The following is a 26,503-nucleotide window of genomic DNA, read 5'->3' on the forward strand; positions in this document are numbered from 1 at the left end:
TATATGTGTATTCATACAGTAATGTAACAAATATAATAGAGAATAATATAGGTTAAAATCCCCATCTGAGATCATTGTAAATAATGTATTCTATGAATTACAGCCATTCTCCTATCCCCATCCAAGGTTTCCGTTTCTATGGTTTCCATTACCTGTGGTCAACCTTGTTCCAAAAATGTTAAATGGATAATTCCAGAAATAAACAATTCATAAGTTTTAAATTTTGTGCCCTTTGGAGTAATGTGATAAAATCTCATGCCGTCCAAATCCATACCACCTGGGATATGAACCATCCCCTCATCCAGCATCTCCACACTGTAGACATTACCCAACCATTAACCATCAACATCATCTGCTCCCGGCACCCAATCATTGACATCATCATAGCTCAATGATCCAGGATCACCCAAAGCACACGGTCCCCCTGCTATACCATCAGATGGTCAGTAGCAGTCAAACACTATATCACAATGCCTACAGCATTCACCTCACTTCATCTCATTATGCAGGCTTCGTGTCACCTCACATCCACACATGAAGGGTAGATACAGTACAATAAGATATTTTGAGAGAGAAAGACCACATTCACACAATTTTTATTACAGTATATAGTTATAATTGTTCTATTTTATTATTATTGTTGTTGTTAATCTTTTACTGCACCTAATTTATAAGTTAAAGTTTGTCATAGGTATATATATGTACATATGTATATATAAAAAATGTAAATATATAAACGTACATATATATACATATATATGAAAAAAACATAGTATATATAGGGTTCAATCCTACCCATGGTTTCTGGCATTCAGTGGGGGTCTTGGAATATATTCCCCCTGGATAAGACAGAACTACTACATGGTTAAAGTTCCTTATCTTAAATAACTAAAGTAAATACATCCATGACTGATTTCCCTTTGGCTGTCAATGTCAACCTCAAGTCCACAGATAATTGATCACTTGATGAGAACACAGTGCTAACGAAACCAAGGACATGGATTTGATCATCTCAGGCCAGCTAACTTCACTTTATTTCATCTTCCCCAACTGTGGATGAATCAGGACAAATTCACGAGCAGAAAAAGAAAATTATTCAACGTGTATGCCTGGCTGAAATACCTGGTTATTGGTAAAATATGTGTTTCTTTTCTTTCTTTAAAGACACCCAAATGGTTTAGTTCTCCTATCTGCCACATATATTACCTGATCCTTCTTATCTCCTGAGCAGTAAAACAAAGTAAATAACAAGAGAATCTCATCATTCCTACAGGAGTACCAGCTTTACAGGGAAGGGATGTTTTCCATTTTGATTTATTCGATAGCAGCAGTGTCAACAACAGGCCCTGGCACACTGAAGATCCTCAATTAATATCTCTAAATAATTTTAAAATTATTTTACAAGTCACTCTCACGTAATTAAGGGCTGGAACAAATTATCCTAGACCAACGTGAGTCCACGATTGCAGAATCAAAATTAAGTCAATAGGATCCATGCTGTTGTGCCTGGAACATAAGTGACTACACAGAATTCTACCCTGGGTAGGATAGTAGCTCCCCCTCAATTTACAGCAAATACAGCTAACCTTGCTTTACCTGCCTCCCGTTTTATTTTGTTGAATTAGAGAAACTGAGGGAAGCAGTTCTCTAACTCATTTACCCTTAGAGCCCTCTACAATCAACCCTGTTTCCCTGTCTTCCCACAGAGAAAAGCCTCCCTCTTTGTCTTCCAGCTTCTCTGTTTCAACCCACAGGGCCCCGTCTCCTTTCCCGGCCTCTCTCAGAGAGAAGAGGCTGCTCTGTGATGCTTCCCAGCCCAGCCTAACCTGCTCTCTAATTGGCTGGGAGAACCACAATTTAGAGACTCTCCACTCCTAACTGTACTTTTCAAGTCTTGCCTTTTCTGACTCCCCTTTCGTTTCATTTATCCCGGTGAAGGGCCACAGCTGCAGAGGAAGCACGGCACCTCCTTCCAGAATTAAGCGCACTTCAGTAAAGTGGTTTCGGGAAAGAAAAGAGATGACACGCTGGCTAATCCCACTCACAGCAGGTGCTTTAGTGAAGCCCTCCTCTATTTAACAAGAGCCACGCTTTCCCTCTATTGCAAAGAGATAGCACTTAAGCGTGTGGTACCATCCATTTTCTTCTGTCCAGGGATAAACTTTGGCATCCTGTCTATTTTTGCTGGAGTTCCCAAGGCCTCTAGCTCTCCCTATTTACTCACTCCCTTACCTATCATTCCTTCCAGGCAAATAAAGAACTCTCTCTTTAGCATTTACGATGTGTGAATTTTCCACCCAGACCAACCCCAAATCTGCTGTAGGCATATCCCGGTGTCCACAGCCTCACCTCCCCCGACATTCCATCATCCAAATTCTAACTTAGAGTCTGTTTTCTGCACACCAAATTTCTGGACCTGAAGTGAGATCTGGTGGACCTTCACATGGCCATATATCCTCTTTCCCTAACCCCACAGTGATTTCACTCCAAAATCAGAAATGCCTCTCATGTAGAATTTCAAGAGGTCTCTCTGGCAGCAGGGACCATATAACTCAAATGGCCCTTACCCATATGCTAAAAATATATATATATAATATGTCACCATTCACGTTATATATGGCACAGGAGTGGAATTCCAAAACTTCCCTTATTCATACAACAAACCACTGTGCTTAAAGCTGGCCACTCATTGGAATCATTGGAGAGCTGTAAAATACTGATGCCTGGGCCTCCCACCCCTGAGAAATCCTGATTTATCTGGTCAGGTGCGGGGCCCAGGCACCGGCATTTCTCCAAAGCTCCCCTGGTGATTCTAATGTACAGCCCAGCCTGACATCACTGTTCTCAAGGAAGTCATTTTACAAATTGATCCTGATGGATTAGTATGACCGAGTTCTCACTTGAGGTAGAAACTTAACAGAGAAAGCCCAAGGACATAAATTTTGGGATCTTCTAACTCTAACTTCTCCTTTTCTCCTTACTAGACTTGTGCAAAAATTGAATGATAGAAAGAACAAGTTCAGCTCTAAATTCCATGGTGTCTAGAAGGGTTTTTCCCTGCCATATCACAGAGCACAGCACTTAGTACAAAGTAGGCATCCAAGAGAGATTTGTGGAATGGATAAGTTTTGCACATACAGTTACATTCCCCCAGGGTCTAGCTATGGCATGATAATGATGGGGCATCTTTTGGCCTTAACTAGTTCAGGCTAGAGAGTGCTCAGTGGGCCTTTACAAGCAGCACTGGCACAATGGCTCATGTCTGTTATCCCAGCACTTTGGGAGGCTGAGGCGGGAGGATTGCTTGAGGCCAGGAGTTTGAGATCAGTCTGTGCAGCATAGCAAGACTCCATCTCTACAAAAATTACAATTAAAAAATTAGCCAGATGCGGGGATGCATGCCTATAGTCCCAGCTACTGAGGAGGCTGAGGTGGAAGGATTGGTTGAGCCCAGGAGTTCTAGGCTGCAGTGAGCTACGATGGCGCCACTGCAGTCCAGCCAGGGTAACAGAGTGAGACTGTCTCTAAAAATGGAAAAAAAATTTTTAAATAGACAGTACCTCTCTCTTCCCAGCTAAACCCTAGATCCATTCACCTTCCAGTGCTCTAAGGAAATGGTTTTGATCTGCTCTATGTGAAATTTGTTGACTTGGCCAAACAGGTCTGGGCCTGATTAACAGCACACTGAAAATGGTTTGGTTAATTTGCCAGAGAATGAGAAAACTGACATCTTTTCAGATTTCAAAAGATAATCTGAGAGCAAAGGTTCTTTCTGTCTTGGCTTCTACTAAGCACCCCACTGGAAACAATGGCTGCCCTCCTGCAGAGCTTCTCGGCGGGAGAGGGAGGTGTGCTCTCTTCCCCCACAGCTTCTACCCACAAGAGATTCACTGTTCAGAGAAAACCTGCAGCAATCTGAAAGTTCATGAGCAACAGCATTCCCTAACAGAAACACATACAGCACAAAACAGGAACAACACACATTCCGCTGCAGTGGGGAGAAGACTTTTCTCCATTTTAAAACCAGCTTTGCAATTAGGTAAATTTGACAGTCTAGAGGACTACCATCTATCTTTCAAGTTGTTCTTTTTTCTGGAAGTCAACAAAGTCAACCAACAAAGTTATAGACTTCAGTTTCATTTTGGGGAAGTAAAGAAAAACAGAATTCAAGTCTGGAATTCATGTCCGTCTTACACCTGTAACTTGGTACTAAGCATTCTTTATCTCTGAGAAAAGCAGAAAAAAGACAGACATCAGATCTGGACCATAATTTTTGCAAATGAGCGAATGAATATATACAGAATAATTTCAAGTTTTTAAATGAAAATAACGTGTGTTTATTATACAAGAGAAAAGATATATGGCTTGACTTTGTTTATGGTACATTTGGTTGTTACTGGCATGATATTTATGGATAAAGTCAATTATTACATTACAGTAGCCTAATTATAACATAGCATCATTGCAATAATAGTTCCAGACCTTAGCGTGGAACTTAGTTAAATATATATGGACTTGTAGTTAAATACATACATACTTATAGTTAGGTAGCTCTGGAATGTTTCCCATTGGTCATTTTCGATCATGAAGTTATAATATAATAAGCTATCTTATCAGTTGACAAACTTTCCTTGCTTGGCCAAACTTTAGTCAGGTTCCTGAATCTTCTCCTAGGCCCATCTGTACACTTCCTTGTAAAATCTAGTTTTAGCAAAGAACTCTGCTAAGTCAGTTAACAAGAACCCCTGTAGAGGGTACTCAATATCTGATCACCGTCAGTCGCTGATTGGGTTCCTCATCCTCCACCATCCCCCACGTGCTGTCTCATCCCCCTGGCCTTTCTTCAGCAAGAATCCTGGTAGGTCGTCAGTTTAGCCAGAATCCCCCTCCCCATTGATGTCTCCTCTAAGCACTTTCCTATCCACTGACCCCTGCCCTGCTCCTTGGCTACAAATCCTCACTTGGCCATGCCATATTCACAGTTGAGCCCAATCTCTCCCATCACTCCCCAGATAGGTCCTTATACCTAACACGACGGTCGTGAATAAAGTCTTACTTTACCATGCTTTACCAAGTGTCACTGAATAATTTTTTTTCTTTAACACAGTGCACTAAGTAGAAACTGTGTAATTATTTACATAATACACTGCAATACTATTAAGGTAATTCTGTTAATATTATACTTCAGTGGAGTGAACCAAACCAGCATCCTAAATATATAATTGAAACCTCCAAAAGACTTGACTTACTCTCAAAACATAGTTCATGTCAAGGAAGAATAATTCATTAATTATACCTGAGATTTTATCATCAATTGTGGTGTTTCAGACTTGGTACTGAAGCACAGGAAAAATGTTCAGACATGTGAAATGTTTAATTCATTCAACTTATTCCACAAGCATATATTAAGGACCAAGCATATACTATGGACCAAGCTCTGTGTTAAAGGAAGATTATTTTAAAATGGAGAGAACTCGCAATCTAGCAAGAGAAAGAGACATGTGGGTAAATGTCATTTCACTACAGTGATGTGACAAGGACTCTATAAGACATCGAAGGAAAGTGCTGACAGGGTACAGGAAGGAAACTCACACCTCCTCCTCAAAGTGTCAGGGGACGCTTCTCAGAGGAGGTAACACTAGCACTTGGTCTTGAAGAATAAGCAGTGCATGGACTGGCTGGAGTCAGCTCTTCCAGAATGGTCTTCTAACTCTAGCAAGCAAGTTCAGGGGCTTGGCTGCAAGACGTTCACCTTGGGAAGGATGCATCAGAATCTTGTGGCTTGGGCAAGTGAGGGGTGGCAGATGGTGGCATACTTAAAAAATTCAGAGGTAGATGCCTGCTCTTTTGTGGTAAAAACAACAGGCTAGGGGGGATCATGTGAGCTTCTGGGGATACACAAAAAGACACAGTGATCAAGCCCAGTAGGAAGCATGGGTTAATGGTTGAGAACTGAGTCCTAGAGAAACCTCCAATTTCTTCTGACGTTAATTGGCAGTGGAAGAGGTTTCCAAATCCCTCTCTATGCATTTGCATAATAAAAAGCTGCTGAGCTGAGCCCTGTGCTAGGGAAGTTCATTCTTCAATGTGATTTCCAAAGGCACAGCCTTGCATCTCACTGTCTGTGACCTCATTTGCAGGCATATAGAACAGGGGAGTGATTTCAAAGCCTAAACCTTGCAGCCTAGAATCTGCCTTAACTATTTCTAATCACCAACTAAAGTTTACAGGTTTGAAAGAATACAAAGTGCCCAAACCACTATGAATGTGTTTTTGACCCCAGGAAAGCATCTTCCCAAAAGATGCAGCATGAATTTCTAGGTGCGTAGTTTAAGCGGCAACGTGCAGAAAAGCCTACAGATGCAAAATTTTTTTTATTTAAAAAATGAATATGTAGCCTATGCACCAGGTGAACATTAGTTAAAAAATGTGTTTCTCGCAAATTCATCAGTGTGTGACTTTGAACCTTTTTCAAGTTTGTTTTTTCCACCCAGGTGTGACAGATGATAATCCAAAACACACATGCAAAGGTACAGACAACAGCACCTTACCGTTAAAACTCGAGTGACGCTATGCTTCCAGAGCTGTCTCCTCCCAATCCTAAACATTGTAGCCGTGCATGGACAGGCTGGAGTCAGCTCTTCCGGAATGGTCTTCTAACTCCTGGCAGACCTGCTCAACATCCAACAGGCTTCCAAATGGAAAGTTTTACTTCCATTTTACTTTCACGTTTCTAATTTGCATGTATTATTCACTACATTCACAGAATAAAAATTAAAACTCCACTTATACCACTCAAGTTTTTCTCCTAGAGTGTCTGCCCTGGGCCTCTCCTCTCTCTCGAAGCCTGGTGTTGTTAGGGTAATATTGTTTATACACTATACAGTTGAACCATGCCTCTTAATCATGTTTATCAAGCAATCAAAGCATTTTAACTGCTCGGTAGCAACACAACTCCTTCTGTTGTTCAATTAATTCTATTCACTGCCCAATAATAAGCATTGAGTCAACAGTGATATCTAAATAGTTTCTTTGAACAATGAGAAACTTTAAACCATATCAGATTAGAAATCCAAGAAGCCACAGCTCTGAATATATTGTCCATGTCGAGAAACTCAGTCTTACTTTGTGTAAACAACTTTGCAAGCACGATGCACTGCCAGCATTGTGACTAATTGTGACTAATTGCCAGATAGGCTAATTGTGACCCATAGGAGCCATTTTCTCCACCACAAAGAACAAGAAGTCTGTTTCATATGCAAATAGCAAACCATGTCCATAAATTACTTGTGCTCACACAGTTGCACATACACTTCAGCCAAGGTAATTTATCCTATGTGGCTAAACATCTTGATCATCTTAACTGTGAAGATGTAATGGGAAAACACTGCCAAATGCTTTGAGAGATCTCTCATGTATGGTTTCTCCCATCGAGTTGAATAAAAGGCAGGACACTTAAGGTTGGTCTTGTTGAATCTAGAATTTAGTCCTTGGAATTCACAGTCCAGCAACTCAAATCCTAAAAGGTCATCCAAGGATAATCAGGAAATTGGGAACTCATCCTGGTAACATCCTGCTAGTCAACCTCTGTGGAGCCTGACTTGGAAGGCAGGGTGCTGACATGGTTTCAGAACATGGAGATTCACTTGGTCCATATCCAATGCTAGGGCACGGACGGCCTCCATATGTCAGGTTAACAGACAACATTTAGACCTCAATATTATTTGGTAAGTAAATAACTAGAACACAGGAAGTTTAAGTTTGTTTGCAGGATTTTTTTTTTCTTTTTTGAGACCTGCAGGTCTCACTCTGTCACACAGGCTGGAGTGCAGTTGCGTGACCACCACTCACCACAGCCTCAACCTCCCAGGCTCAGGTGATCCTCCCACCTCAGCCTTCCTAGTAACTGGGACTACAGGCAAGTGTCACAACACGCGGCTAATTTTTGTATTTTTTGTAGAAACAGGTTTGGCCACATTGCCCAGGCTGGTCTCAAACTCCTGGCCTCAAGCAATTGCCCACCTCGGCCTCCCAAAGTGCTGGGATTATACGCATGAGCCACCAGGCCAGGCCCTGCAGGATATTTGTTGAAGTCAACCTCTGGTTGTTGGTAAGCGGCTGTTGTCCGTTTCTAATAAAAAGTGTTGAAGACAGTATCTAGACTCTGAGTCCCTTCTCTGTGTGGTGCTGAAGACACCAGAAAATAGCAGTAGGATCGGATCCTCCTCACATGGCATCTCCTATCCATCCCAAGAATCCTCTGTCAACACATGACCTCAGGACAAACATGTTACAATTCATTACATCGCCGATTATCTTTCATTAGTTACATTTGAATCGGTGCTTCCCTAATGGTATTTTAGGCACCATCCTCATTGCAGCAGCAGCCCATTTACAACGCATCGCTTGGGGAGAGTTACTTCCTGGGAAGATTTCCACAGATGGCTGATGGCATGCATTTTGTGTTTGGCAGGCATAACCATGACTCCCTTGAGGCTTCACAGCAAACCGGGAAGCCTTCCAGTCTGTGTGGCTGAATTTCAACCCCTCGGGCAAGGTAGATGGCGTCTTAAGGTATCTTCTTGAGCGCTCAGGCTCACTGGAAGTTGTTGAACAACACAAACAAAGCAAGCCAAGGCTGAATTTACAACAGGCCACCTACCCCCGCCAGCCCCTGCCAGAATGAAAGTCAATTTCTGGCATTTGGAGGGAAATGATCAAACATTGTTCGGTAGGAAACTCAGAAAGGCTTGCCTACAAATAGTTTCCACCAGGCAAGAGCTTCAGCTGGCAGGGCTCTATATATAGGACTCACACGAGGGAGGTCTGCAGCCCCGTCTGTGCGGATAGTACACCCTTCCAGGCTGAAAATATTGGTCATACACAAATCCTGTCAGACATAATGGGAAAACAAGAGTAGACAATGGACCTCATGTGGGCGGAAGGCTTCATCCAGAAATCCAAGTACCTGCAGGCAAAGTTTGAAGTTCCACTTTCATTCATTGAACAAAAGCTCGTGAGTGCCTTTTACGCAGCCAGACGCTGCGCTATACACTATGAATAGAACAGCTAATAAAAACAGATGTTTACTCAGACATTTAAAAATATTAATTGTAGAATGCATAATTATCCTATGCAACACTCGGAATGAAAAAATAATGCTGCCTATTCAACATATCCATTTTAAGGTGCATTCTGATTTCACAGATGTTAAAATATGAAAAATGTACATTTCATAATCAATAAAAAATGGTTATTCTTGCCTTTACTGGGGGTAGATATTAAGCAAATATATAAATAAATGTATAATGACAAGTAAAATGTTACAAATTTTGATAAGTGTCATTTTAAAAGAAAATAAGGTATAAGCTTTATGTGGACATATGTTCTGAATTGTTACCTTTACGCTTACATTCCAAAGTGTAAAATTTTCTAAACTCATCTCTAAATTATGGAGTCATCTACCCTGCATCTTGAAGCCTCGTATGTACATCCCGTTCCATATGGCTTAATAGAAAAGTGCAACTTTGGGGTCAGACAGACCTGAACTTAAATCCCAGCTATGTGACATCAGATATTTTGTCTCCTAAATTAGACGTTAGAAATAAAACCACTTACCTAAAACTGGTAATGATTTAAATATATTTAAATCTCCTAGATCCTCATAGGCACCTAATAAATGAAATATATAACCACATTTTTTATCTGCAAAAGAGTTATGACTACCATTTATGGCAATATCAATGGAGAGGACGAATTCCTAAATCTTAACCTAACCCACACATTTCAGTCGAGAGCTGGTTGAAAATTTTGCTCTCAATTTCTGAGTATGTCCTAGCAAAAGAGTGGATCCAAGTTTTATCAGTTACTAGCTACACGTTTTTCATGGATTTCCATCTTTAAGAATGTCTTACTGAGGCCCAACAGGATCAAACACATTCATCAGTTTAATAGCCTTGTAAACAATGATACAAACTACAGCATATAAAAATGGCAAATGAGTTCAGTGGGATGAGAGAGTTCCATATTTCACCCATCAAGCGCTGCACATTTGTCTTCACGCTTTACCATATTGAAATGTGGTCATTCCAAATGCAACATGATATTTCATCTTATATTCAATGCCCTCTTATAATTGCTGTTGGCCAGACAAAAATCATGACATGAGTGTCCTTACCAGAGCTTGTGCACACCCAGCTGTCACCCAAGTGGCACCACAAGGCCACAACAATACCAGGAAGTTACAGCCAACAAACCACAGAAGCTCCATGTGAGGAAGAAATGTGTGTCCCGGTTGTTTTCTAGAAATCTTCACTGTCACCTTCTGGGAAGATCCAGAAAACACCAGCACTGCAACTTGCAGGAAGGATGTTAGTAGATTGGAAGAAAATCCCAGAAGAGTCAGACCCTACATGTGAAGAAGTTTTAGAAGTTTCTTAACTAATTCATTGCACTTATCTTTGTATGGATGCATGGGGGTGATGTTTAAAAGAGCTTCAATTAAAATAAAATTGAAATTCTAAGAAAGCAATGAAGCCTAGTTTAATGGACAGGTGTTTTTCCTTCTTGGTGGTTAATGACACAGTAATGTGTTTCATCTGATAATGGATTAGGTCAGATGAATACAGTTTTGTGAGTTCTAATGATCAAAGGAAACTTTTGGAGAAGGGAGAATTTAAGGCAAGCCCTATAGAAGAATAAGATTCAAATTAGTAGATAGGAAAACTAGAGTGTAACATATGTGAAAAATTATCTTGGAGACTGGAATTCAACAGAGCCCGTCTTGTGCTGCAATTTTAAGTAAAAATGATTGATTAATCTCTGAAAGGTATGTTGAGGCTGAATGGTGGGCGTCAATCTAAGGTAGTGGGCCTTGCAGGCAATTAAGGAGTCACTGAATTAATGAAAGTCTTGTTTAGGAAGGTTATGCTGGTATTATAGCTGCACGCCGGTAAGGATGAAGTAGAGAGAGACTGAAGGCAGTCTCCTGGGCATGAAGAAATAAAGAATTCAATAGAGGGAGGTGGAAACTGTGGTCACCCAAACAACCTAAAAATGAATAAACTCGCAAGCTGAATAAAAGGGGCAAGTCTCCTTGTCTCTGTCCAATATATTGCTGCCCCTAAGCTACTCCTCTAGAGAAATCCTGGTTGAGGAAGGAATGAGAAAGAACAGATAGAACACACCAGAAAGAAAAAAAACACACACAAATAACAATGGAACTTGACAACCGGTAACAGAGAAAAGGACACCATTGTCAGAGAGGATTCCATGTTTCCCAGCTTGGGTAAAGAATCATCATAACTTAAGCAGAAGCAGAGGAATCTAGAAAAAGTACATTTTGGAGACTAGATGACTAAGGAAATGTAAATAAAGCTCTAATTCTTTACTTTTCCTTTTGGTCTTTCCATCTTGAAAACATGAAGGCCAGTATGATTATATGCAAGACAATAAACATCCAGTATCTTTTTCTTTATACAATTGCAATTTTAAAACTCACAATAAAAAGAAAAAACTCATAATAAAAAGGAAATAAAGGAACCAATAATATAGTATTGATGCCATAATCATTTGAGCTATACTCACAAAAGAAGATAGTGATTCTAAGAGCTTCAAATGGAGTGATATGGTTGGTTGATTTTGTCACCATTTTTATGGATTGAAATTATACAGGGTAATCTTGAAAAGATGCACAAGTTTCCTGGGAGACTCATCTGTCAAAATTCAAAAGAGAGGATGGGCAAGAGAGGAGAAACTCCAGAGGAGGACACAGAAAGCTGATGCATTTAGAGTAAACACTAAGAGCATCTAAGTTCTGCCGTTTGGAGGAAGAGAGCGGCTTGGGGCTAAACGCACTTTCCAGATGTTATCTTGCATAGTGCCTTTCATGTAGAAAGTGTAAGAATTAGGAATATTGGGCACTAACGGAGGGATACATTAAAGAAAAGACTGTCTAAGAAGTATCTCTGTCTTCCCTGGTAACACTTCCACATACCTGTAGAAATAATGTTGTCCTGGCTTTAGGACGTTACGCTTCTGATCCTGAATCCTGTACATACTGGTTGCTTAGGTGGCCTCTGATTAACAACGAGCCAGCTACACTGGCCCCATTTTCCCCTAAATTATATGAGATGGGTGGCCCAGTGATCTTGCAGGTAACTTCTGGCTCCAAGAAAAATGCACAACCTAAGTGAAGGATCTCAGATCCCAAGCATACTGCATGCTGAAAGTAACTGCAATGTTATCTTAATATGATTTCTACATGTACTATCTTATAACATGGTACACAAAACATTAGAAAACTTATGAGACCACTTGATCATCTGAGATGAGGCCTATCACTTAAACACTGCAGTACTGTTATGCCTATGGTAATAGTGTTTTCTCCATAAGAGTTTTTTTTCCTTTCCAGATGCCCATATTTTGAACAAATTTTGCTCCCCAAACCATGATACTTGTATTTTTTTTTTGAGATGGGAGTTTTGCTCTTGTCTGGAGTGCAATGGCGTGATCTTGGCTCACTACAACCTTCGCCTCCTGGGTTCAAGCAATTCTCCTGCCTCAGCCTCCCAAGTAGCCGGGATTACAGGCATGCGCCACCACGCCTGGCTAATTTTGTATTTTTAGTAGAGATGGGGTTCCTCCATGTTGGTCAGGCTGGTCTCGAACTCCTGACCTCAGGTGATCCACCCACCTCAGCCTCCCAAAGTGCTGGGATTACAGGCAAGAGCCACCACACCCAGCCGTATTCTTTGTATATAAAGCTGTAGTGCTTTCTGAAATTTTTCTCCCAAACCTACACACACAAAGCTCATGGGTTGTGAATGAAGACATGTAAATTCAATTTTAGGTGCAAATCACCAAGATTATTATAGTAAGTCTTTCTGGCATCCTGCTTTTGGTTCTGCTGCATAGCACAGTTATGTTTCATGTTGAGTCTCTTCAGATAGTATCGCCTAGCTTGGTTATTGCAGTTGTTACTTGCTTAGAACCAAAATTTCAGCATTATGGCATATAGAACCAAGAAAAAAAAAACTTCTTTATTAGAAGCTTGTTTGTAGTTATCATCTAAAGGACAACCAACAGCTTGGGAATAACCCCATGCCTTAATTACTTGTACTTTCAGAAATTCAAAGTCCATACAAATATACAACCACAATTAATTAGAGAGATAGGAAGAGAACCCTTATTAATGTGATGCTTCTTGCTTTATGAAAGCATTAGGAGCTGATGGTCTTCACATTTTGCTACCTTTTAATTGATATTTTTCCACTTCACACACTGGCATTCTAGGGCACCAAATCATGATTATTTTCCTGAATATAAAGTAACAATATTCATATACTCTGTCTCTTTTGTTTTTTTTTTGTTTTTTTCGTTTTTTTTTTTTTTTTTTTTTTTTTTGAAGCAGGGTCTTGCTCTGTCGCCCAGGCTGAAGTGCAGTGATGCAGTCATGGCTCACTGCAGCCTCAACTTCTTGGGCTCCAGCAATCCTCCCACCTCAGCTCCCCAAATAGCTGGAACCACAGGTGTGCACCACCAGATTCAGCTAATTTCTTACTTATTTTTTGTAGAGATGGGGTCTTCCTATGTTGCCCAGACTGGTCTCGAACTCCTGGACTCGAGCAATCCTCCCGCCTCAGCCTCCCGAGGTGCTGTGATTACAGGCGTGAGCCACCATGCCTGGCCCATATTCTCTCTTTTTTTCATTGTGATTGAGTTTATAAGGTATTCATTGAAAAGGAAAATATATTTCATTTCATAAGTCATTACTCATGCCAAGATCTGGTCCCTGGTTTTGAAGACATCAAGCAGCAGTTAACAACGGGGAGAAACTCACCAGCCTGCACCCTCCTGTGCTTGCTCTGTCCCATCAACAGACACACACCACCCTGCAGAAACCAGACAGCTGTGGAAAGGAAAGTGGAGGGCTCCAGTTTCCCTGAGGGATCATTTTGGGGGCTATCTTTGCTGTTATCACAGCTGTGTTAGTTTTCATTAAAAAGAGAAAGTAAAAAGTAGAGTTAGGTTTACCAGCAAACATAAAAATTCTCCTTTAACCCTGCATTTAGGTCCTCTTTGCTTTTCTCTTGTGCTAAGATATCATGAAAATGGTAACTTCAAAATCATGTTGTCTTCCTATAGAAAGATTTAATGAGAAAAGTGAATCAAATGTCATTTAATGTAAAATAAAATCCTGATAATAGGAATTGTTTGTTGACTCAAGAGACATCTTCTAAAAGCAACGAAGAATCACCCCAGCCCAGGGCCTCTAACATCACCCCATCAGAAGCACATTAATTAACTAGAGGGATCTCCCAACTTGGGATAGCTTGACGTTTATCACAAATAAAAATCCGTGAAAATAAGCAAGACATATCCATAAACACTGATGGTTAGCACTCACGCCCACACTAAGGAGTCTGGAACTAAAATGAGATGCATTGATTTGAAAGGCAGAAAACTCCTGATTACAAGAATGTGATCAGAGAGAGCAAATCCATTTTTTTAAAGCACGCAGCAATTTCTGCAAAGAAAGTTCTGTCTCTGAAAAGCTTAAAAATAGGCTCAGGGAGACATCAAAGGAAGATGTTTCTAGCCAGAGAAAGAATGATTTGATCACCCCAGAAAGAGAGCACTTGGTGGCAGATCAGAGTTCAAGGGGAAGCTCAGGGGCTGTGTTTTTGATGACTCCCAACCTCCACCAATATCACCGCAAATTCAGAGGGCAGGGATCAATATGTCTTACCCATGACTGTATTTCTGGGTTTTCCAACTGCTCATTAAACGAAAACCAGCCCATTTATAATCCCATCCAGGACCTAATTATGTCTTTAAATGTCAAACTACCAACAATTACAAATTGTATTAGAGTTACTCCACTATCAAGAAAACAATATTTACATTGCCAAGGAGGACAAAAATAACCCGTTTATTTACCCATTGCTGTTTTCTTCAGGGTTTTTTAAAGAGACGGGGTCTCACTCTGTTGCCCAGGTTGGAGTGCAGTGGTGCAATCATAGCTCACTGCAGCCTGGAATTCCTGGGATCAAGTGATCCTTCCACCCCAGTCTCCCAAGTAGCTGAGACTATCTGTGTGTTCAGTATTTGACCTTTCTTAAACACTGTAACATAACTTGTGATAAACGTCATTGCTACTTAATGCGTTGTCACAAGACAAATCTCTGACACTGTTGTTTCCTTCAAGAGCAAAATTGCTATTAATAAAATATTATTTTAGAGACCAAACATAAACTTCATTTCTCATACACATAAAGAATAAGTTCATCTTATTGCTAAGAAGACTAAATTATAGAAACTCTGTACGGATCAAATGTCCCTTCAGAGTTTTCTTGAGGATGGGTTTCAACACTTCTCACTAAAACCAACATCACAACTTCTTGACGGAGCAGAGGTGAAATGACACCCAATTAAAGTGAATGTGTATATATATATATACATTTCTATCATAAATACATTTGACAATAGCTTTAGAATGTAATACCTTGTTCCTGCTTCCAAAAGAATTGTCAGCTTCCTGATTTTCCATCTATCATGAACTCTTCTACTAGAAACAGTTAACATTGGGCCTTATATTCAAATGTAGCCCCTGGGTGGGTTCAAACATTCAAATGAAATGGCACAATTAACTACATAAATCAACAGTCATTGATTGAAGTAAATTCCAAGTTGGGGACATAAAGGACCTTGCTATGAAAACATAAAGAACAAGATAAGGCAAGAATTTTGAAAATATAGCCCTTACTTGGTGATTCAGCATTTGCAATGGAATTAATCTGAACAATTACTTTCTTTTGATTGTTTTAACTTTCAAATATTATATCATTCAAAATGTGGGATGCTTCTTGTTTTGTTTTATTTTTGGTTTTGTTTTGAGATGGGGTCTTGCTCTGTCACCCAGGCTAGAGTGCAATGGCGCGATCTCGGCTTGATGCAACCTCTGCCTCCCAGGTTCAAGTGATTCTCCTGCCTCAGCCTCCCAAGCAGCTAGGATTACAGGCGCCTGCCACCACGTCCAGCTAATTTTTGTATTTTTGGTAGAGACGAGGTTTCACCATGTTGGTCAGGCTGGTCTTGAACTCCTGACCTCATGTGATCCACCCACCTCGGCCTCCCAAAGTGCTGGGATTACAGGTATGAGCTGCCACGCCCGGCCAGTTCCTGTTTTAATAGAAACAAAAGACAGTAAAGACCCTAAAGGTCAAACCTGGTGGTAAAATATTTTTTCTACATGGTAAGAAAAGTAAGTCCATATTTTAGGTGTGATTTAAGAGGAAATGTTACATATTTTAAGAAAATACTTTAGTGTACTCATTCATCTCACCAAAGGCAATCAAAACATATTTATTAAGCTTCCCTGATATACCCTGCACGATGTTATTCAACTATAAAACACTTCCTTCCCAGAAAGAGCTTATAATCCATTAAAGGAGATAAAACTAACTAAGTGAAATAATAAAGTACTAAATTATAAGACCTTATGAAGGTTGCAGGAATCCAGGGTGCTATACCAAGCTCATGAGTCGACACGTGGAAAATATACCCTTTTATATGCAATAAGGTTTACAGGATAAGGAAAGAACTTTTCATAAAACTCAGTTTTGAAGTTGGTCTAAATCACTTTAGTGAAGGAGGAGCAATTGCATGTCTAAAAATTAGAAGGAAAAATGTAAAAGCTTAAATAAAGTCTGCAAGCTCTTCCTTTTGTAATAGAAGAAAATAAAGGAAAACATGTTCCTGAGAGAGGTGTTCCGAAAGTGAGCGAGAGCAGGCCAGGGAAAGTCATTTCTCTCTGCTTCTCCACTTTCTTCCTCCCCCTTTCCCAAAGTAGAGGGTTAACACTCGAATCTGTTCCAACAGAAAATTCCAGAAGGAAGGCAGTGTTTCCCCGTTGCCCATTAAACTGCCCCAGCGTTGATCTCGCTGCTACTTTTTGAGTGAGGCCTGTTCTGCCTTCCACATTGGGACATCTCTGACTCTTTCTCTTTTAACCTCCCTGGCTGCTTTCTATCTCCCTTCTTTCTGACCCTGAAGCCTAAAGGAAAATCATCTCAGCCAGTTCTCACACGTTCACTCTCACTCATCACCAATTTTCTTGCCATTCTGTGCTTCATTTTGAAACAACTTAGGACCACACAATCAACGCGAAGTCAAAGGCAGACTGATATGGTTTGGCTCTCTGTCCCCACCCAAATCTCATGTGGAACTGTAATCCCCACGTATTGAAGGTGGAGGCTGGTGGGAGGTGACTGGCTCATGGGATAATTTCTAATGGTTTAGCACCGTCCCCCAACTGCTGTCTCGCGATTGAGGTCTCACAAGAACTGGTTGTTTAAAAGTGTGTGGCACTTCCCCCCTCACTCTCTCTCTCTCCTGCCACCACGGTGAGATGTGCTTGCTTCCTCTTTGCCTTCTGCCATGATTGTAAGTTTCCTGAGGCCTCCCCAACCGTGCTTCCTGTTAAGCCTGTGGAAACATGAATCAATTAAACCTCTTTTCTTCATGAATTACCCAGTCTCAGGTATGTCTTTATAGCAATGTGAAAACAGACTAATACACCAAGAGAACTCAGCATCCTCAGTGGGTTTCACTGCCAAACAAAGAATGGAAGAAAACAGGGTGTGTCCAGCTCATTACATAATAATAACAAATGTAAAGAAACAAAAATTGGAGGGGTTAATTCACTGAGTGATGTAGAGCAGTAAGAGAAAATCTATTGCTTTTTTAATCCAGGAAATACACAAAGTTGAAAACAGCAGTCTCCTAGGAGAAAATGTGAGGCAAATATGACTAAAAGAACTAAGGCTGAAGGCAATTTTTCTCCAAACTGTTATCCTCATTTGGGAATTACTTTTTTCTCTTTAAGAAAAAAAAGAAAATTAATAAAATGGAAAACATTTTAAATCACAAAAGTTTGTCCTACGGAAGGTTTTCAAAATAGTAAACAATCTAATTAGAGTTTATATTTCCCTAATTAGTTCTATTTAACTCTGGTAGAGATTAAACCTTTTTAAAATCAGTTCAAAACTCTTATTTCAATATTAAATTTTACTCTAATATACAGGAGAAAAGCAAGACATGAGGGGAGGGAAAGTCCTTGCCAAGAGCGTGCAACAATGAAGAAAAACAGAACAAGAATCTCCTACCTTCCCTGCAAACCACCACCGCTGTCCACGCTCACCAGTGGGGTGGTACATGCTCTTCCCTAAATGCACTTTCATAGGGTCTGACACACACTTCATTCCATCTCTGCTGGTCACTGTCCCATTCACGTGTCAAGAATCTGTTCCCATGGCCCTTCCTCTATAGCATTCTTCCCGAATCTTATGATTCCCTTCTCTGAAATTCTACAGCTCATTCCTTGAATCTAATCATTTTCATACTAAATAATAATTACATTTTAGAAATAAACTTTATGCTGGGATATTTTTTAAAATAAAGACTATGAATACTGTGACTAGCACAATATCTGCCATATAACAGGTGCTCATTAAATATATGTTGAATGGTAATTTTTAAACATCATCTATACTGTGTATAGTCATCAACCAAAACTATTTTCTCTCATTAAGTAATACCTCTATTCTGTTTTTATCCCCTTGAAGGTGTCCTTTTTCATGCCATTGTTGTTCTCATTTTTGTTATTGTCTTTTATCTTTGTTAACTTGTTGCTATAGATAGTGAGTTATTTGAGGATATGCAGTAAAAGAACTCATAAGTAAGTGTAAAAGGCAAATCCCAGCCCCTCCTTTGAGTGTCACTCTGCCCATGCGTGCCCCTAGTTAGACAGAAGAGAGAAACTGCTTATCCTGCACTTCTACGTTCCTCTATTAGCAGAGACCGAAGTGTGAGGTTTACAGCATGATTCAACTGCCACATTTTTTCCTGCATAGCAGGTGCTCTTTTTTATTATCATTTTATTGAGTGATTATCAAATGGGATAGAATTGCACACTGAAATTTCATGAACTGAATTATTCATAAAAGTGAATTTCAGTATACTGAGCATCAACTTACCATGGCTCAGCTAAGGTTCACAAATATTTTCCTTACAGAGAATTGTTGTTGCAATTTTATTTGTAGTGCAGGGATGTCAAATTGGCAAAGTTCTACTATTAGTAATGGATCTACAGTCCATGAAAACAACACTGTACCTCAATCAACAGACAGGTTTATCTAGCTTTTTTCTTTTTAAGAAGAAATCCTCAGATTCTGGTTACAAGATTTACAGCATTTCAATCTCATGCCCTATAAAACCTTATGTTCAGAGGTTAATAAAATGAGATTAATCCAGAGATACTGCATGTTGAATTCTTTTCTCCCTTCAAGCACAATATGCTAAACAAAGCACAGTCTACACTACAGAAGGAGAGACTCTGGAAACAGCTGACTACTAGTGGAGGTTAGCTGCCATCCAGTGGCTGAAAGTATAACTCACCCATTAACCATTAGCTTGAAGAGCTAAGGAAATACAAAACAGACCCATGTCTCATGAGTACATCAAAGGTTATCAATTATTTACACTTATTGTCTCATATTTACAAAGAAGACAGAACAGTGGGAAAGTTACTGAATGCTTTAATGAAAGAGAAGCCAGTCTTCTCTTTTTCAATTCTAACCCACAAGAAACTTGTCTTTATGTTCTGATGATTTCCCTTTCAAAAATTTCCAATTTAGACATTTTCTCTATCTATATCATATGGCCCAAGTTAAATAATAAAATAATTATAAATAATAAAATATATCTTACTGTGTGGAAGATGGTACATTGAAGAGGCAAAAACTTTTATCTCAATCTTTAAAGAGGAAAATATGTAAATATATCCATATAGTAATCCCAATATTGATAGTTACATAGTGAACTCTTTGAGTTGATTTTGATCATTTCCTCTCATTTAAAATGTAACATCATCTTTTCTTTAAGATCATTAACTGCTTTTAAGTAATTCCAATACCTGTATTTTTAAATATACTTTATTATTATGAAAATAATAAAAATTGATTGGAAAATAGAAAAAATCACCATAATATGAACACTATTAACATATATTCTTCTACTCCATGAGCAATAAATATTCTAGCTCCCGTTTTCTTAAAAATAAAATACACACATGTATATGTATATATGTATATATACCTTTATTTTTAGTTTAAAATGTATCATGTACACATTCTCATATTATTGAATATTCTTCAAAATATGATCTAACGATTGCATAGCATATCAATTACATAGGCCTTGATTTATTTAGCCAATTTTTTTTTTACTTTTAGATTGGTTCCAATTTTTCACTATTATAAATAACAGTATAATGGATATCCCTGCATACAAATCCTTGGTATAAATCTCTATTTATTAATTTCAATAAATTATTATAAAATTCATCTCTCCAAAATTATACTCTTTGATTTCCATGAGAAATTTAATGTAATTTTGTTCATCTTTACAAATATGGTAGATGAGAAATGGTAAGTTGCTGTTATCTTCTTGCAAGTTTAATTTGCAAATCTTTGACAAGTGAAGCTGAACATGTTAAAATTATTTACTGGGTATTTGTGTTTTGTTTTGTTTTTATTTTTGTAAATTGCCTGTTCATGTCCCTTCCTATTTTTCTTCTGATAATTTTCTTTCCATTGATTTTATTTTTAAGACTGGATAAAGATAACAGCACACATCCAGAAAAAGGAATAGGTGCCTCAATATTACTCTTACATAGAGTAGAATTAAAGACAAAGGCATTAAAGATTTGGACCAAGACAGCCATTTTATTTTCGTAAAAAGTAAAATTAACTATGAATATATAGTAGCTATGTGCCAAAAACCAGTACTAAAATAAAATAAGCAAAATCTGTTAGAACTACAGGTAACATTAACAAAAACGATAGTTAAAGGATGTTCTAATAGAATGTTTTAACAGGAATATACTAAACCTTAAAATCTCCCCCAAATTATTATCTTACAGTGCCATAGATAGTTAACAAAATTAATCATTAGAACACACAAAACCTTAATGCATTTTAAAGAGAAGTCACACAAATCACAAGCTCCTACAATGTTATGTCAGAAATTAATCATGAAGGAATTTTATGTTTCTCAACAGCCTTTTTGTTGTTGTTGTTGTTGTTGAGATGGAGTCTCCATCTGTCACCCAGGCTGGAGTGCAGTGGTGCGATCTTGGCTCACTGCAACCTCCGCCTCTCAGGTTCAAGCAATTCTCCTGCCTCAGCTAGAATTACAGGCATGTGCCACCACGCCCAGCTAATGTTTGTATTTTTATTAGAGACGGGGTTTCACCATGTTGGTCAGGCTGGTCTCAAACTCCTAACCTCCAGTGGTCAGCCCGCCTCAGCCTCCCAAAATGCTGGGATTATAGGCATGAGCCTCTGTGCCTGGTTCTCAATGGCTTTTAATTTTAGAAAGAGTTGAGTCCTCGCAGAACTCCAAACTGCAGATACAGGCCATTTTGAATATAATGAATCCCACTGAAGACTCAAGAAGACTGATAGAGAGGGAAGAGGCAGACAAGTGTGGATTCTCTCTGTCTTCGAGAATGCCAGGTGGTGAAGGTTGGGGAGAGGTGCCCCTCATCAGGCCAACTTGGCCAAACCAGCCCCAAGTCAGAACCAGGCTTCACATCTTCATGCCATGAGTGCAGGTCCCTTTTCGGACCAGCCCAGCGCCCAGGACAGTGGGGTCCTTGAGAAAAGGATTGGGGCCACCAAGGCAGAGAAAAGGTGGGACCTGGAGGTGGTTTTACCCCCGTGGGTCTCCCTCTTCATTCCTTACCCCAAGTCCTCTCCCTGGAATTCTGTGTGAGTTCTATCAAGATTCCTCAGCTGGGTGTGGTGGCTCACACCTGTAATCCCAGCACTTTGGAAGGCTGAGGCAGGCAGATCACCTGAGGTCAGGAATTTGAGACCAGCCTGACCAACATGGTGAAACCCCGTCTCTACTAAAAATACAAAATTAGCCAGGCGTGGTGACACATGCCTGTGATCCCAGCCACTCGGGAGGCTGAGGCAGGAGATTCTCTTGAACCCGGGAGGGTGGAGGTTGCAGTGAGCCGAGATTGCGCCATTGCACTCCAGCCTGGGCAACAAGAGCTAAACTCCATCTCAAAAAAAAAGATTCCTCATGACTGAGTCCAGGAAAAACACCCCCAGAACTGGACTCACTCCCAGCTACAGTCAAAATGCAAAGACAAGAATAGAAAAGGAGTGTTCTGCTTCCCTACGGCATGAGGGGAACGCTTTTATCTTCAAAAAAAAAAAAAAATCCAAATCTTTAGTTTTTGATTTAGCATGCTGCAAAAGTTCTTTCAATCCCAGGAGATTTAAAAAAAATTGTTGAGTTAGGTTACTCTGGTGGAGCAAATGCAAGAAGCAAGGTGAGGAGAAACGAGGTGGACCGTACTGTGTTACAGTGAATGTGAGGAGGTGCACAGATGAGTGAACCCCAACACTGGAGGGGTGAACACTAGGCACTGATGGGCTCACATCGTCATCATCTTGCTGGGGTATGATTGAAACTAATATCCCTTTTTCAGAATTCCTAACTCTCTGGGTTGGCAAACTATGGCTCATGTGCAAAAACTGGCCCATTGTCTATTTTTGTAAGCAAAATGTGATTGGAACACAGACGTATTTATTCATTTCTGTATTGCCCATGGCTGCGTTCATGCTACAATGGCAGACTTGAGCAGTTACAACTGAGAGCTGCAAAGTCTGTAATATTTATTTATCTGGTCCTGTACAGAAAAATTCGCTGGCCTCTGGTCTAAACCAACATCACACACAACTTGGCTGTGCCTCTCTTCTTACGTCAGCATAGGGGAACCCCTGGCCAAGGCACAGCCCGGCTCCATGCTCACCTCCCTGGGAGTCCCTCAGTATCCCTCCTCCCACACCCACCCTCTCCCCGTGGCTACTCCACACGCACCATGCCTCACTTACTCATCACAACCAGCCTCATGCTCAGCACATAGGTGCCCACGTGTGCCCACTTCCATGGGGTCATCTTTTTGATATCGAGTATTGTGAGATGGGATTGGGCTTAGTTCCACAAGAAGAGAGAAGAACTGGAAAAGGCTGCAATAGCTTCCTATCATTCCCCCTACCTTCTTCAGTATCCTGAAAGCCTCTGAAATCTCCACTCTTTCCCCAACCTCCAAGGGAGGAAAGAAATTGGAATGAGTTTCCCCAGGCCCAGTTCTGCTGTGGGCAGATTTCTTTGAGTCAGGAAAGGCAGGTAAGGAAGAAGCTTCTTTGCTGAATAAGTTTTTCTATACCTCCCTCCCTTGACCACTTTCCAGTTCTTTTCTGTATATATTTAATAATATAAAAATCATCTTTTTAAAATAAAAGAGAGTATTACTATACCCATTTTCCAGATGAGGAAACTGAGAGTGAGAAAGGCAAAGTACGTTTCCAGTATGTGTAATTTTTAACAAAAGTGAGTGTTCCTATTCCCATTTTCCAAATGAGGAAACTCAGAGATGGAAAGGTAAAGCGAGCCGGGCATGGTGGCTCACGCCTGTAATCCCAGCACTTTAGGAGGCTGAGGCGGGCAGATCGCCTGAGGTTAGGAGTTCAAGACCAGCCTGGCCAACATGGTGAAACCCCATCTCTATTAAAAATACAAAAATCAGCTGGGTGTGGTGGCGGGCACCTGTAATCCCAGCTACTCAGGAAGCTGAGGCGGGAGAATCACTTGAACCCGGGAGGCAGAGGTTGCAGTGAGCCAAGATCACATCACTGCGCTCCAGCCCGGGTGACAGAGCAAGACTCCTTCTGAAAAAAAGAAAAAGAAAAAGAAAGAAAGAAAGGTATGGTAAAGTGACTCGTCCAAAGCCCACGGACAAAATGATCCCATCTTCACTACACAGCATTATGAGCCCCTTGGTGAGATGCCTCCCCCATTCCTCCTACTAATCCTTGATGCTCAACTCCCTCCCAACCTGACCCAAAGCTTCCTCCTTCGAGAAGCCTGCCTTGATTGATACTCTCTCCTGATCTGGGTACTCCTCTACATAGAACTCAATCACTAACGCTTTTATTATTTGTTTATATTATTTTAATTGTGTCTGTTTGTGCTTTGCTTTCAATGCAAAGCAGGTGCCAGTACATACATATACTTTTTGAGGTTTTCTTTATTATCAATAGCTTTATTGAAGTATACTTGATATACCAAAAAACTGTACATATTTAACATATACAATTTCATGAGTTTGGATATATGCATATACCCATGAAACCATCACCACAATCAAGGTAAAAATATATCCCTCACCTTCAAAAGCTTCCTCATGCTGCTTTGTGGTTTTTGGTTTTGTTATTATGTTTTTTGTGTGTGGGAAGAACCCTGAACATGATTGATAAGCACCTGACTTATTGTATGTAAATTGAATTTTTTAACCAAATAATATTTTTATTTATATGACATAACGCAAGTTTTTCACAGGAAAGCAATATGACTCTAAGGAATCATGAAAATCATGTTTTGATACCTTAGAAAACAATAAGTTTCTCATAAAACATTCAATATGCTGCAATTTTAGCATTATAGTACACATCTTTGTTTTCTAAAGGTTCTTTTGGATTGCCAGGAACCAAAAAAAACAGTCTCATAAAACCCAGATGTTAAAGAGAAACTGAACCAGACACTTCCTAAAAATTGTAAGACATTTTATTCAAGCTACTGCAGTTAGAGAAGACAGACTTCAGTACTGAGCTTAACTCCAAATACAGCAAAAGCAGCTGGAGATTTTTAGCCAATGGGCAGGCATCAGTAGATGGAAAATTACTAAGAGGAATTTGATGAGATATCAAGTGTGGTGGGAAAGAAGAACTTGATTAGATATAAAGGGGATGGAACGGGTTCTCCCTAAACTGGCTTAGCAAGATTCCTACTAAAACTGGGCTTGGCAGGCCAAGGACAGGGCCAAGAACCCAGCTAGTCAAAAAGAGGGCCCTGACAAAATTTGGTCAGGGAAGGGAGTCCTTGTCACAGGTAATGAGAGTTTAAGACACACAAGCAAAGACAAACTGTCCCGGCAGCTGCTCGGCCAGCCTCACAGGTAAGTGCCACGTCCATGACACCCCACAGCAGCGGTGCATCCACCACAGTCGCCGCGTCCCAAGAGCAGGGAGCATCTCCCTGCCCAAGTGCTCCGCCATTTTGAGAACCAGCCACCTTCTCCCTCTCCCTGTGTTTATACTGTTCCTATCACTGCTTGGATCCGCTAGAGCTCCTGCTTGATGTGAGACAAAGTAACAATCATAAAAAGCCATATTTGCTCATTTCTTCTTGCCAGAATAATTTCACAAAGCCCCTGACTCTGAGATGACATACAACTCTCTAAAAACAAAAAGACAAACAAAACAGAGCATATGGTCCTCCATGCCTCTTGCCTAAATCATTACATTCCTTAAAAAATAAATGACCTGGTCGGAAGCGGTGGCTCACGCCTATAATCCCAGCACTTTGGGAGGCCGAGGCGGGTGGACCACCTGAAGTCAGGAGTTCGAGACCAGCCTGGCCAACGTGGCAAAACCCCATCTCTACTAAAAATACAAAAATTAGCTGGGTGTGGTGGCGTGCACCTGTAATCCCAGCTACTCGGGAGGCTGAGGCAGGAAGAATCGCTTGAACCCGGGAGGCAGAGGTTGCAGTGAGCCAAGATCACACCATTGCACCCAGCCTGGGCAACAAAGCGAGACTCTATCTCAAAATAAATAAATAAATAAATAAATAAATAACCTAGTCTTGTTTTTTCCTACACATAAGATAATGTCTGACAGGATTAGTAATTATACTTCCATAATCTATAACCAGATATACTCTTATACCCGAACATTAATAAAATTGCTCTCCCCACTACCCCCCTCCTCCACAGTGGCACTATCATAGCTCACTACAGCCTGGAACTCCTGGACTCAAATGATCCTCCTGCCTCAGCCTCCTGAGTACATGGGACGACAGGCATGTGCCACCACGCCCAGCTAATTTTTATGTTTTTTTGTAGAGACGTGATCTCTATCCTCCTATCCTCAAGTAATCCTGCCACCTCAGCCTCCCAAAGTGCTGGGATCACAGGCATCCACCCCTGCACACAACCGCAAACTTCAATTCTGCTTCAACATACCTTCTAAACAAGTCTACAGTAATTTTACATGTACCGATCCCTGGCCACCTCTACATAAGCAGTAGGCTAAAACACTGTCCACAGTAGTCTGATAGGACTGTTCCTCAGCTATAGGCCTTGGCCTACAGTCCTCAGTAAAACTGTAAATAAAGCTAACTTTAATTCTTTAAACACTTGACTTTTTTTTTCCTTTAGTTGACAATCATGGCACCCCAGATAGGACTCAGAGCAGACAGCCCAGGGTCACCTAGAACATTGCAAGGACTGAGCACCTTAGTACCAAAACGGGCCTTTTGAGCCCCTCTGGCTCCTCCACGGTTGCAAGTGACTGGGTGAGTC

At 40.3% G+C, this 26,503-nt stretch overlaps 1 protein-coding gene across 11 annotated transcripts in view; it reads right to left on the minus strand.

The window, feature by feature from the left end:
• Nucleotides 1-26,503, minus strand: part of DNAH5 (dynein axonemal heavy chain 5) — a 321,491-nt gene that overhangs the window by 247,503 nt on the left and 47,485 nt on the right. Inside the window, exon 1 of one of the 11 annotated variants that reach the window (XM_047416886.1) lies at nt 11,587-12,522. The exons of 9 other annotated variants lie outside the window; for them this stretch is intronic. Coding sequence is in view for 1 of the 2 variants with exons in the window: in NM_001369.3 (NP_001360.1) it covers nt 6,552-6,608 (57 nt within the window). In the remaining variant the exon portion in view is untranslated. Of the gene's footprint in view, nt 1-6,551; nt 6,859-11,586; nt 12,523-26,503 lie in introns of those variants that run through there. One more of the 11 variants, NM_001369.3, reaches the window with a different exon arrangement.

This window comes from Homo sapiens, chromosome 5 (assembly GCF_000001405.40).
Source record: "Homo sapiens chromosome 5, GRCh38.p14 Primary Assembly".
Lineage (NCBI taxonomy): Eukaryota > Metazoa > Chordata > Mammalia > Primates > Hominidae > Homo > Homo sapiens.